This window comes from Homo sapiens, chromosome 4, assembly GCF_000001405.40.
Source record: "Homo sapiens chromosome 4, GRCh38.p14 Primary Assembly".
NCBI lineage: Eukaryota > Metazoa > Chordata > Mammalia > Primates > Hominidae > Homo > Homo sapiens.
In genome coordinates this window covers 173,064,094-173,076,235 of record NC_000004.12, presented here as the reverse complement: position 1 = coordinate 173,076,235, position 12,142 = coordinate 173,064,094, and the positions used below count along the sequence as shown (strand labels likewise).

Here is a 12,142-nt window from a genome sequence, read left to right as displayed (position 1 = left end):
GTGCCTTTTGGCCTTTCTTCCTTCCAGTTTTTATGACTGTCCTTTTACTCCTCACTTATTTATTAATGAACTTTATGCTGGTCTAATAGTGATTCTCTCACCCAATTCCTGATATCATATATAAATACATAACCTGGCCGGATGCAATAGCTCATGCCTGTAATCCCAGCACTTTGGGAGGCTGAGGCGGGCAGTTCACCTGAGGTCAGGAGTTTGAGACCAACCTAGCCAACATGGCAAAACCCCGTCTCTACTAAAAGTACGAAAATTAGTCGGGTGTGGTGGCGGGTGCCTGTAGTCCTAGCTACTCGGGAGGCTGAGGTGGGAGAATCGCTTAAACCTGAGAGGGGGAGGTTGCAGTGAGCCGAGATGGCACCACTGCACTGCAGCCTGAGTGACAGAACACCTTTAAGATGCTGGATGTCACTGCAAATGCCTGCACTTTTGGCTGGTCTCTTTCTTGGTGCCTTGATACTTTAATCACATTATATATTTAAAAAGCAAAAGGAAACAAAACAAAACAAGGCCTAAGAGAGGGGATCATGCCTAAATTGGCAGGTCCTAAAACACTTCTCCTCATCCTTTGGAGCTCAGGTTAAATGTCATTTCCTCAAGAAAACTTTTCTTGTATCTGTGGGACTATGCCAAGTCCTCCACTCTATGCTTCCAAATTCATGAGACTGTTTAATTAATATCTGACTTTTCTACCAGAATGTCAACTCCGATAAGGCAGAAACTGTACCTGTAAGGCTCACCATTGTGACTCCAGAGGTCTGTACAGTGTTGTCTTAGGCTGGGTGCTTGATAAATAATGGTTGAGTGAACAAATAAATGAGTGAATTAATGAAAGAGTTTATTATCTACCTGTCTAACTAGTAGTCTTAGAAATCTGGAATGGAAGCCAGGCATGGTGGCACATGCCTGTAATCCCAGCTACTTGGGAGACTGAGGTGGGAGGATCACTTGAGCCCAAAAGTTGGAGACCAACCTGGACAACATAGCAAGATTACAATACCCTGTCTCCAAGATTACAATACCCTGTCTCAAAAAAAAAAAAAAAAAAAAAGAAAGGAAGGAAAAAAGAAAGAATCGTCATCTGAAAATCATTCTAATTTCCTGATAATAGCTGATTTATACTTAAAAATATTTTTTTCAGCTTTTGGAGAAATCCAGAACACCCAAAGAGAGAAAATAGCATTAAAGTAGAGATAATTTCTTTGACAATATGACTATTAAACATAATTATTAAAAAGTGTTTTTTCTCTTTCATTCCTTTTCTGTTAGTGATATATGTTAGAGGTGCTTACAGCAAGAGCGTTAAACCCCGTGTGTGTGTGTGTGCACGCTGCATGTGTGTGCTGTGTGTGTGTGTGTGTGTGTGTGTGTGTTTGATGCAGTCCTTTTCAGAGTCCATTTGTAACATAGTCTGGGCTTGGTGGTTGTGGTCACTGTTTGCAAAATCTGCTGCTCTGTGTCTTTTCTCCCTGCATTCACAATGACTCACTTTCTCCCAGGTGCTGAGATTGCTTCACAGCAGGGCATGCTTATTGCCACATGGCCTGATTTTGTGCTTAATGTTCCCTCCATGCATCTTGTTCTGTTTCTGCTCTCTGCTTGACAAATGCCTACTCAGCTGGCCACCCCTTAAAAAATGGGCTGCCTTAAGCATGACAGCAGGGCTTCTGAATAAGCTGCATTCCAGACTGGTGCTGAAGACCTTGCCCATCCATCTGCTTTAGGGAAGAAAAGTGCAAATTTAAACCTGACCTTGAATTCCTAAGTGGCATTTTGAGAGTAAACAAAATGACTAGGTATTTTTGCAGCATATAAACTCTCTCACAAATACCAGTCAGACAATTTATTTAATGAGTTTTTACATCACCCAGTCCAGCCTTGTATCTTTACCCTGTATACAGCACTCAGCACCACACCTATGTTGTGAAAATTCACCTTGGCTAGTTTTAAATTGTGCTTTACCACCTGCTTCTGCTCATAATTCCTGGTTCATTTCCCTTTTAAGAAATCTCCCTTTCGGCCCTTGCATTTGACATACCTGCTTTGGTTATTCTTTTGCTAACAACTTGGATTCCTTATTTAAGAGAGTCTCTCTCTCTTTTGTTTATGCTGCTTTCATCTGTGCTGGGTAATTAATTGCCTCACTGGCTGGAACTACTTTTTGTATAGATGCTACTGACTGCTGCCTCAACTGGGTTCCACCCAGTCCCCTAAACCTAGAGGACTCAGAGAAATGCCAGGCCAGATTAGTTTTATTTATCTTTCAAGAAAATTTTTAAACAAAACACAATTTTCTTGGTGGTTGACAATTTAGGACGAATGAGTTTTGAGTGTGAGTAAATCTAGGATGTTCACTGTACAATGAAAGACTGTGAGCTGTCATGATTTTATTTTTAGAGCTGGTGAGTCCTATATTGCAAATAAGAACGTGCATATTCAAACGTTTGTATGAAAATGTTAATTTTTAGGAAGGTTTGTTGTTGTTGTTGTTATTTAAGTAGATGGGTGATGTGCTTAAATTTTAATGAGTTGAAAAATTGTCTGACCACTTCGATGTTGAAGGTCCATCGAGGTGACCTCACCTATGACCCATTTTTTAGTGCTCCTTGCCCTGGTTATAATCTGTGACTCTCTTTAACCACTCCTGTTTTGATTAAGGAAATAAAGACTGTTTCCCATATTTTGCTACTGAGTATATTCTTATGTCGACTTTGCCACTCACATTGTCATTTCCATTGCCATAAGGGTATCTGTCAAAGCAGAGGTTGTTTTGTAACTTCTCGTAATAAGGAGAACCTTATACCCGATTGGTGGCTTTTTTGATACACGAATTGTTCTCAAGATTGTCCTGAAATGCCTTGTTTGTTGTCATTCTAGTTAGACAAGTAATCAGCCTTGAGCTGCACAGTATTTTAACTAAGACATTTGGTTTTTTTCCCTTTTCTTTCTTTCTTTTTTTCCCCTCTCGGGTGTTTAGAACTACAAGAGATTTGTTTTTCTAATTGCTTAGTTGCAGTTAGGTGGAACCTACATATTATTTTTTTTTCTGCTGCAGAATTTTTATCATGTGGAATTAAGCAAGTACCTTGCCTTAGTCCATTTTTTCTTGCTTATAACAGAATACCTGAAACTGGGTAATTTATTTTAAAAAATGCTTTTATTTCTTACAGTTCTGGAGGCTGAGGAGCCCCAGGTTGAGGGGCTTCATCTGGTGAGAGCCTTCTTGCTGGTGGAGACTCTGAAGAGTCCCGAAGTGGTGTGGGGAAACATATGGTAAGGACTGAACATGTTTGTTCAGGTCTCTCTTTCTCTTTCTATAAAACCACTGGTCCCCACCCACAATAGCTTATTAATTCATTAACATATTAATCCATAATGTGACATTATGGTGGCTTTATAATTAGGGGGATTATAAACTTATTCCCCAATGTGACATTATAGAGAGGTGGGGCCTTTAAAAGGTGGTTGAATCACAAGGACAGACCAATAGAGCATGGGTTAATGGGTCTGTCCTCATGATTCAACCACCTTTTAAAGGCCCCACCTCTCAATAATGTCACATTGGGGATTAAGTTTCAACATGACTTTTGAAGGGACATTCAAACCACAGCATAACCATTAAATATACCCACGAAATAGCTTTTAAAAATTTGACTGTGACCTAGCATTTACAAATGCTTAATTAAATATTTTTATAAAATTACACATTATGAATAGTTCCCTCTCCTTTAACTTCAGGTACAGCTTAATTGTGAAAACAGGGTGGGTGCTATTAGAAGCCCATGGTCCTATAGATGTTCTTAATATTCAGCTCTAACATTCGAATATCCTTTAGATTGATAGCATTTAGGGGCATTTAGTTTGAGTTCAATGAGGTTAGAATTACAGAAAAAACATAAAATTTTTACTCACTAATCAATTCAGAAACTGCATATTTTAGATCCCTCTGGAGAATTAATTAAATATTCAGTTATTTTGAAACTGAATTGGTGAAGGGGTAATTTGATTAAATAACACTTTTGCTGTAAGAGACACTCTAAAACTTCAGTCTAGAATACATCATGTAGGAGGAGGTGTAACAAGCAGTCTCTCACCTTCAGGTTTCTGAGTTTCTCCAGATGTCTCCTGTGCTCATTTCTTCCTCTGGTAATTATATTAGTGTTTGGGAAAAGATCTGGTGGAGAGGATATAGAGCTGTACACAGCATGATGACATTGTCAGGGTGGAAATTTCACAGACAAGACTTTAGTTGGACTCTAAGATTTTGCTCTGTGACCTCTTTACAGATTCCTTTCTCAATGTCATAGCTTGGATCTGCTAAATGGATACAGTTGAATAAAGGGTATCAATTTATGAGCCAAAAAAACCTCCTGGTAACCTACTAGACTAGACAGATGATTTTTTTCTATGCAGAAAGTATTCTATGCAGAAAGGATTGTATACAGAAATATTTAGATCCATTCTCCATCTGGATGTGAACAAGGTGACAGAATATGACTTTCTAACACTTGTGCCCTCACAGAAACATCAATTTAAACAACTATCTATGCATAACACTATTTTCACAAGAGCTAAGGAAACCAGGTGAGAGATTACAGCACCTGGGAATAGCACAGAAATAAGAAAAGATGCATCCAAGAAGGTAGGAAAGATAGTTTTATATCACCTGCATCACTCCTCCCCCAACCCCAGGCATCACAGCTTGGAGAGAGGTACCCTCTGTGTGGGGAAAGGAGAGGAATGTGAGCATCAGCCTTTGCCTTGGGCCCCAACCCTGGGACAGATCCAGTAAAACCCAATGTTGGGCGAGTCCCCATGACTTTAGACTCTAGGCTAGTATCCATGAGCTGAGCCTCCAGACCTGCCCAGCACCAGGGTAGATCCTCTAGCCCCAGGCTCCAGGCTTGCCTGGCAGACTCAGTTTCTAGGCACACACGAACAAGAGGCTAACCCTGGTGGCCCCTGGTTCCCAATAGCCTCCAGCAGTGAACTGGCCCTCGCATCCCTAAACTTCATCTTCCCCACTGCCAGTTTAGCACCCCTGGCCTCAAGATCCAGGTCTGCCTAGTGTCAGATTGTTCCCTGTAGCCCTACTCTCTAGGCTAGCACCTGTGCCCCCACACTCCAACAGACCTGGGGTCCAGCAGACCCATCCCAGTAGACCACAGTGCTGAGCCAGTGCCCATGGATCAAGGCTCCAGGACCACCCCTCTGAACTCAGGTTTCATGTAAGCCCCCATGGTCCCAGGACTCAGGCCAGTCTTGAAGAACTAGCTTTAGGCCAGAACCTGCATTCCCATCCTCCAAGCTGGCCCCCTCAAGCCCATGCTCCAGACCAGCACCTGGGATCCTAGGTTCAAGATGGCCCTGTTGGACCCAGGCTCCATGTCTGACCTAGCACTACACCACTTTCAGTCTCCAGGCTGGTCCTTGTCGATCAAGGCTCCAGAAGGCACAAGATACGGACCCACTCCAATAGATTCCAGTGCCAGACTGGCCCCTATGGACTGTGGCTCCAGGAACACCCTTGCAGATATAGACTCCATGGCAGACCCACCTCCATGAACTCAGGCTCCAGGACCACCCCTGCAGACACAGACTCCAGGGCAGCCCCTGTGGACCCACACCCACCCCTATGAACTCAGGCTCTAGGCCTACCCCAGTACAGGGGCATATATCACAGGCCAACCCCATGGACACAGGCTGCAGGCTCAATCTTGTGGATCTGAGAGATAGGTCTGTGCACCTGCTGACCCAGACACTAAGCAAGCCTGCCCAGAGACCATGCCAGGTGGCCTACCCAGAATCTCTAGATGGGCTAACTACTGAAGGTCTTTCCCAGAAAAATCCAGTTTGCAAAAACTGGAATAAGCCACCACTCTTCAAATGCACAGACACCAACATACAGCCACAGGGTTCAAGAATAATCAGGGAAATATGATACCACCAAAGGAACAAAATAAAACTCCAGTAACTGACCCTTAAGAAATGGAGGTTTATGAACTGCCTGACAAGGAATTCAAAATAATTGTTTTTAAGGTAGCTCAGCAAACATCAAGAAAATACAGAGAAGCAACCCAACATAATAAGGAAAATCATAAATGACCAAAAAGAAAAATTTAACAGAAAGAATAAAATTATTTAAAAACCAAATTACAGAGCTTAAAAAGACAATGAATGAAATAAAAAATGCAATAGAAAAACATCAACAGCAGAATTGATTGAGCAAAGAAAAAAATATGTGAACTCAAAAAAAAGTTATTTGAAAGTACACAGTCAGAGGAGAAAAAAGAAATAAAGCTCATGGGATTTATGAGACAGCACCAAAAGAACAAATATTTGAATTATACGTGTTTAAGGAGAAGAGAAAGTCCAAGGTCCAGAAAGCCTATTTTAAAAAATAATTGCAGAAAACTTTCCAAATATAAGGAAAGACATAAATATCCAGTTAAAGGAAGATCAGAAGTCTTCAACTGGAATCAATTCAAATAAGACTACTCTAAGACATGTAATCAAACTGTCAAAAATCAAAGATAAAGAGAGGAACCTGGTAGCAGCAAAAGAAGTAAGTAACACATAAGGAAGTTCCAGTAAGGCTAGCAGTGGATTTCTCAGCAGAAACCTGACAGTCAGGAGAGAGTGGAATAATATATTCAAAGAGTTAAAAGAAAAAAATTACCTACCAAGAATACTATACCTGCCTAAGTTATCCCTCAGAAATGAAGGCAAGATACTTTCTCAGACAAAGGTTGAGGGAGTTTATTATCACCAATCTTATCTTACAAGAAATGCTAAAGAGAGTTCTTCAAGCTGAAAGATAATGATGCTAATTAGTAACACAAAAATATATGGAAGTATAAAACTCACTGATAAATGTAAGAACACAGTCAAATTCAGAATACTCTAATACCGTAATGGTGGTATGTAAATCATTTACATCTTTGGTAAAAAGGTTAAAAGACAAAACTAATAATAGCTGCAATAATTTGTTAGTGATACACAATATAAAAAGATGTAAATGTGACATCAAAACACAAAATGGAGGGAAGATGGCAGATAGAAGACAGGGCTAACATGCAGCTCTCACGTGGATGAACAGAACGATATGTGGAGACTCACACCACAGACTTTTGCTTCAGGAACCACTGCAGGAGCATACCAGGAAAACTGAAAGAAATCACAGATCCTTTGAAAGAAGCAGCAAGCTGCTGAGACAGGTGAAAAATTGAGTTCCCAAAGTGTGAGAGGAGGAAAACCTGCCTCTGAACACACAACCCCACTGCAGAACCTGAAAGTACAGATTATGGGAGACGGATTTAACCTTACCTAGAGTTGGAACAAATCAGGCATGAAATACAAAAGTAGAAGCAGTAGTGGGAAGAGACTTGTAGGCACTCCTATTCTCCAGCTTGAGCCCAAAGACATTATCCCTGACTGTATCTCACAGGGGCTCTCAGGGAAGGCAGGTGGTGGAATTTTGGAGGGAGTCACATGGTGAATGAAGCTTCCAATGGAACTTTGCAATAATTTAGACTGGGCACAAACTCTCTTGAGCAAAATTTGGGAATGAACAGGAAAAGCGGCAGAAAGGAAAGCAGGAGATGCAGCCAACAGTGTGGGCAGACAGGGATGGGCATGGCCTGTCAGCAGGGAAACATATAGGCTGGGGCTAGGTCTGAGTCTCTCCCTGCAGGCTGCCTGGAGATAAACTTGGTGCTGTTAGCAAGGCACTGCAGGAGTGAGACTGGTCACATAAACTCTGTGAGAGCTCGGCGAGACCTATTGGTATTGGCTTCCCCCTACTTCCCTGGCAACAGAGGCAGCCATAATTCCCTCTAGAACATAACCCCATTGGCCTAAGAGCCACCCCTCCATCCCCAACAGTGGCCAAGGCAAGCCCCACCCAAAGAGAGTCTGAGCTCAGACCCGCCTAAACCTGCCCCTGTCTGATGGTATTTCTCTACCTCCCCTGGTAGCCTATCACAAAAGACATAAACTCTTGGGAGCTTTATGAACCCACTCATCACCCTGAGAAACCCAAATACTTATCCTGGCCAACTTAGAGCAAGCTTATATCTCCCTTCTACTATTGCAGCTGGTGCTCTCTCTGAAGTGCCACCTCCTGGCTGGAGGCCAATCAACTTAAGACATTATAGCAACTCATGACAGAATAACCCTCCTCCAAGGAAAGAGAAAATGGCAGCTAATTACACTGCCTGCAACATCTTGGCTAACCAGTGGTCCTGCATCTTTCCACGTGGCAACTTCACTTCTAGCATAACCAGCATTTTAGAAAGACAGCACACAAAACATATCTACAACCAACAACTTTCACAGAGTCTACTTCACTCCCCTGCCACCTCCACCAGAGCAGGTGCAGACCTGCTGACAGACCTGAAGATGGCTGTCAGACCTCTTCAGGCTGACAGACCTGAAGATGGATCGCAGCACAGGACTCTTTACAGACATTTGCCAGCACCAGGCAGGGCCTGGTAGCCACACTGGGTGGCTAGACCCAGAAGAACAATAACAATCACTGCAGTCTTGCTCCCAGGAAGCCCCATCCCTAGGGGAAAGGGGAGTGCACCACATTAAGGGATCACCCCATGGGACAAAAAAAAATCTGAACAGCGGCTCTTGAGTTCCAGGTTTTCCACTGAACTAGTCTACCCAAATGAGGAGAAATCTGTAAAGCAACTCTGATAACAAGGTTCTGTAGCACTCCCAAAAGACTAATTAGCTCCCCAGCAATGAATCCAAAGCAAGAAGAAATCTCAGAATTGCCAGATAAAGAATTCAGAAGGTTGATTATTAAGCTACTCAAGATAGCAGAGAAAGGTGAAAACCAACTTAAATAAACTTAGAAAACAATACAGGATATGGACAAAAGATGTTCCAGATAAATAGATATCATAAATAAAAAACAATCACAACTTCTGGAAATGAAAGACACATTTTGAGAAATACAAAATACACTGGAAAATTTCAACAATAGAATCGAACCAGTAGAAGAAAGAACTTCAGAGCCCTAAGACAAGGCTTTTGAATTAACCCAATCAGACACAGACAAAGAAAAAAGAATTTAAAAAAATGAACAAAGCCTCCAAGAAATTTTGGATTATGTTAAATGGACAAACCTAAGAACAATGAGTGTTCCTGAGGCAGAAGAGAAATCTAAAACTTTGGAAAACATATTTGAGGGAATAATTGAGGAAAACTTCTCTGGCCTCACTAGAGAGCTAGACATTCAAATAAAAAAAGTTCAAAGAACACCTAGGAAATTCATCACAAAAAGATCATCACCCAGGCACATTGTCATCAGGTTATCTAAAGTAAAGACAAAGGAAAGAATCTTAAGAGCTGTGAGGCAAAAGCATCAGGTAACGTATAAAGGAAAACCTATCAGATTAATAGCAGATTCCTCAACAGAAACTCTACAAGCCACAAGGGATTGGGGCCCTATCCTTAGCTTCCTCAAACAAAATAATTGCCAGCCAAGAATTTTGTATCCAGAAAAACTAAGCTTCATAAATTAAGGACAGATAAAGTCTTTTTCAGAAAAACAAATGCTGAGACAATTTGCCACTACCAAGTCAGCACTACAAAAAATTCTGAACTCAAAACCTTGAAATACACCAAACTAGAACCTCTTTAAAGCATAAATCTCACAGGACCTATAAAACAATAACACAATGAAAAAAAAGATATTTAGCCAACAACGAGAATGATGTATAAAATAATACCTCACATCTCAATACTATCATTGAATGTAAATGGCCTAAATGCTCCACTTGAAAGATACAGACTAGCAGAATGGATAAAAATCCACCAACCAAGTACCTTATCTATTGTCTTCAAGATACTCATCTAATGTATAAGGACTCATTTAAATATAAGGTAAAGGGGTGGAAAAAGATATTGCATGCAAATGAAAACCAAAAGTGAGCAGGAGTTGCTATTCTTATATCAGACAAAACAGACTTTAATTCAACAACAGGTAAAAAAGACAAAGAGAGATATTACATAATGATAAAAGGAGTAGTCCAACAGGAAAATATCACAATCCTAAATATATATGCACCTGACATGGAAGGTCTGAAATTTATTAAACAATTATTACTAGATATAACAAATGAGATAGATGGCAACACAATAATAGTGGGGGACTTCAATACTCCGCTGACAGCACTAGACAGGTCATCAAGACAGAACATCAGTAAAGAAACAATGGACTTAAACTATACCCTAGAACAAATGAACTTAACAGGTATATACAGAACATTCTACCCAACAACTGTAGAATATCCATTCTTCTCATCAGCACATGGAACACTCTCTATGACAGAACATATAATAGGCCACAAAACAAGTCTCAATAAATTTAAGAAAACTGAAATTATATCAGGTACCCTCTCAGACCACAGTAGAATAAAATTGGAAAATAACTCCAAAAGGAACCCTCACAACTATATAAATACATGGAAATTAAATAATCCTCTCCTGAATGATCTTTGAGTCATCAATGAAATCAAGATGGAAATTTAAAAATTATTTGAACAATAATAGTGACACAACTTATCAAAACCTCTTGGAAACAGCAAAAGTGGTGCTAAAAGGAAAGTTCATAGTATTTAATGCCTACATCAAAAAGTCTGAAAGAGCACAAATAGACAATCTAAGGTCACATCTCAAGGAGCTAGAGAAACAAGAACAAACCAAACCCAAACCCAGCAGAAGAAAAGAAATAACAAAGATCAGAGCAGGACTAAATGAAATTGAAACAAAAAATACAAAAGATAAATTAAACAAAAAGCTGGTTCTTTGAAAAGATAAACCAAATTGATAAACCAAATTAATAGACCAAAAAAAGAAGAAAGAAGGCCCAAATAAGCTCAATTAGAAATGAAATGGGAGATATTACAACCAAAACCACAGAAATACAAAAGATCATTCAAGGCTACCATGAACACCTTTGTTCACACAAACTAGAAAATCTAGAGAAGATGGATAAATTACTGGAAATACACAACCTTCTTAGATTAAGTCAGGAAGAAATAGAAACTCTGAACAGACCAAAAACAAGTAACAAGGTTAAAACAGTAATTTAATAATTGCCAACAAAGAAGTCGAGGACCAGATGGATTAACAGCTGAATTATTTCAGACATTCACAGAAGAATTGGTACCAATCTTCCTGAAACTATTGCAAAAGATAGAGAAAGAGGCTGAAGCCAGTATCACCTTAATACCAAAATCAAGAAAAGACATAACAAAAAATGAAAACCACAAACCAATATCCCTGATGAGCATAGATGCAAAAATCCTCAACAAAATACCTAACCAAATCTAACAGCATATCAAAAAGATAATCCACCATATGTTAAACCAGGGATAGTTTAATATATGCAAGTCAATAAATGTGACACATAAACAGAATTAAAAACAAAAACTATATGGTTATCTCAATAGATGCAGAAAAAGCATTTGACAAAATCCAACATCACTTTATGACTAAAACCTTCAGCAAAATTGAAATAGAAAGGACATACTTCAAGGTAATAAAAGCCATTAGTGACAGACCCACAGCCAACATTATACTGACTGGGGAAAAGTTAAAAGCATTCCTTCTGAGAACTGGAACAAGACAAGGATGTCCACTTTCATCTCTTCTATTCAACTTAGTACTGGAAGTCCCAGCCAGAGCAATCAGGCAAGAGAAAGTGTTGCGGGAAGTCAGAGACCCCAAACAGAGGGACCGGCTGAAGCCATGGCAGAAGAACATGGATTGTGAAGATTTCATGGACATTTATTAGTTCCCCAAATTAATACTTTTATAATTTCTTATGCCTGTCTTTATTGCAATCTCTAAACATAAACTGTGAAGATTTCATGGACACTTATCACTTCCCCAATCAATACGCTTGTGATTTCCTATGCCTGTCTTTACTTTAATCTCTTAATCCTATCAGCTGAGGAGGATGTATGTCACCTCAGGACCATGTGATAATTGCATTAACTGCACAAATTGTACAGCATGTGTGTTTGAGCAACATGAAATCTGGGCACCTTGAAAAAAGAACAGGATAACAGCAATTGTTAAGGGAATAAGAGAGATAACCTTAAACTCT

At 40.0% G+C, this 12,142-nt stretch overlaps 3 annotated features.

Annotated features, from left to right (window-relative positions):
• Positions 864–1,662: an enhancer, noted in NCBI's record as "OCT4-NANOG-H3K27ac hESC enhancer chr4:173995725-173996523 (GRCh37/hg19 assembly coordinates)". NCBI's record gives its function as "activates a minimal SCP1, AML or CMV promoter by ChIP-STARR-seq in naive H9 embryonic stem cells {active_cell/tissue: H9 hESC(naive)}" and the evidence as "EXISTENCE:reporter gene assay evidence [ECO:0000049][PMID:30033119]".
• Positions 1,663–2,461: an enhancer, noted in NCBI's record as "OCT4-NANOG-H3K27ac hESC enhancer chr4:173994926-173995724 (GRCh37/hg19 assembly coordinates)". NCBI's record gives its function as "activates a minimal SCP1, AML or CMV promoter by ChIP-STARR-seq in naive H9 embryonic stem cells {active_cell/tissue: H9 hESC(naive)}" and the evidence as "EXISTENCE:reporter gene assay evidence [ECO:0000049][PMID:30033119]".
• Positions 5,103–5,752: an enhancer, noted in NCBI's record as "H3K27ac hESC enhancer chr4:173991635-173992284 (GRCh37/hg19 assembly coordinates)". NCBI's record gives its function as "activates a minimal SCP1, AML or CMV promoter by ChIP-STARR-seq in naive H9 embryonic stem cells {active_cell/tissue: H9 hESC(naive)}" and the evidence as "EXISTENCE:reporter gene assay evidence [ECO:0000049][PMID:30033119]".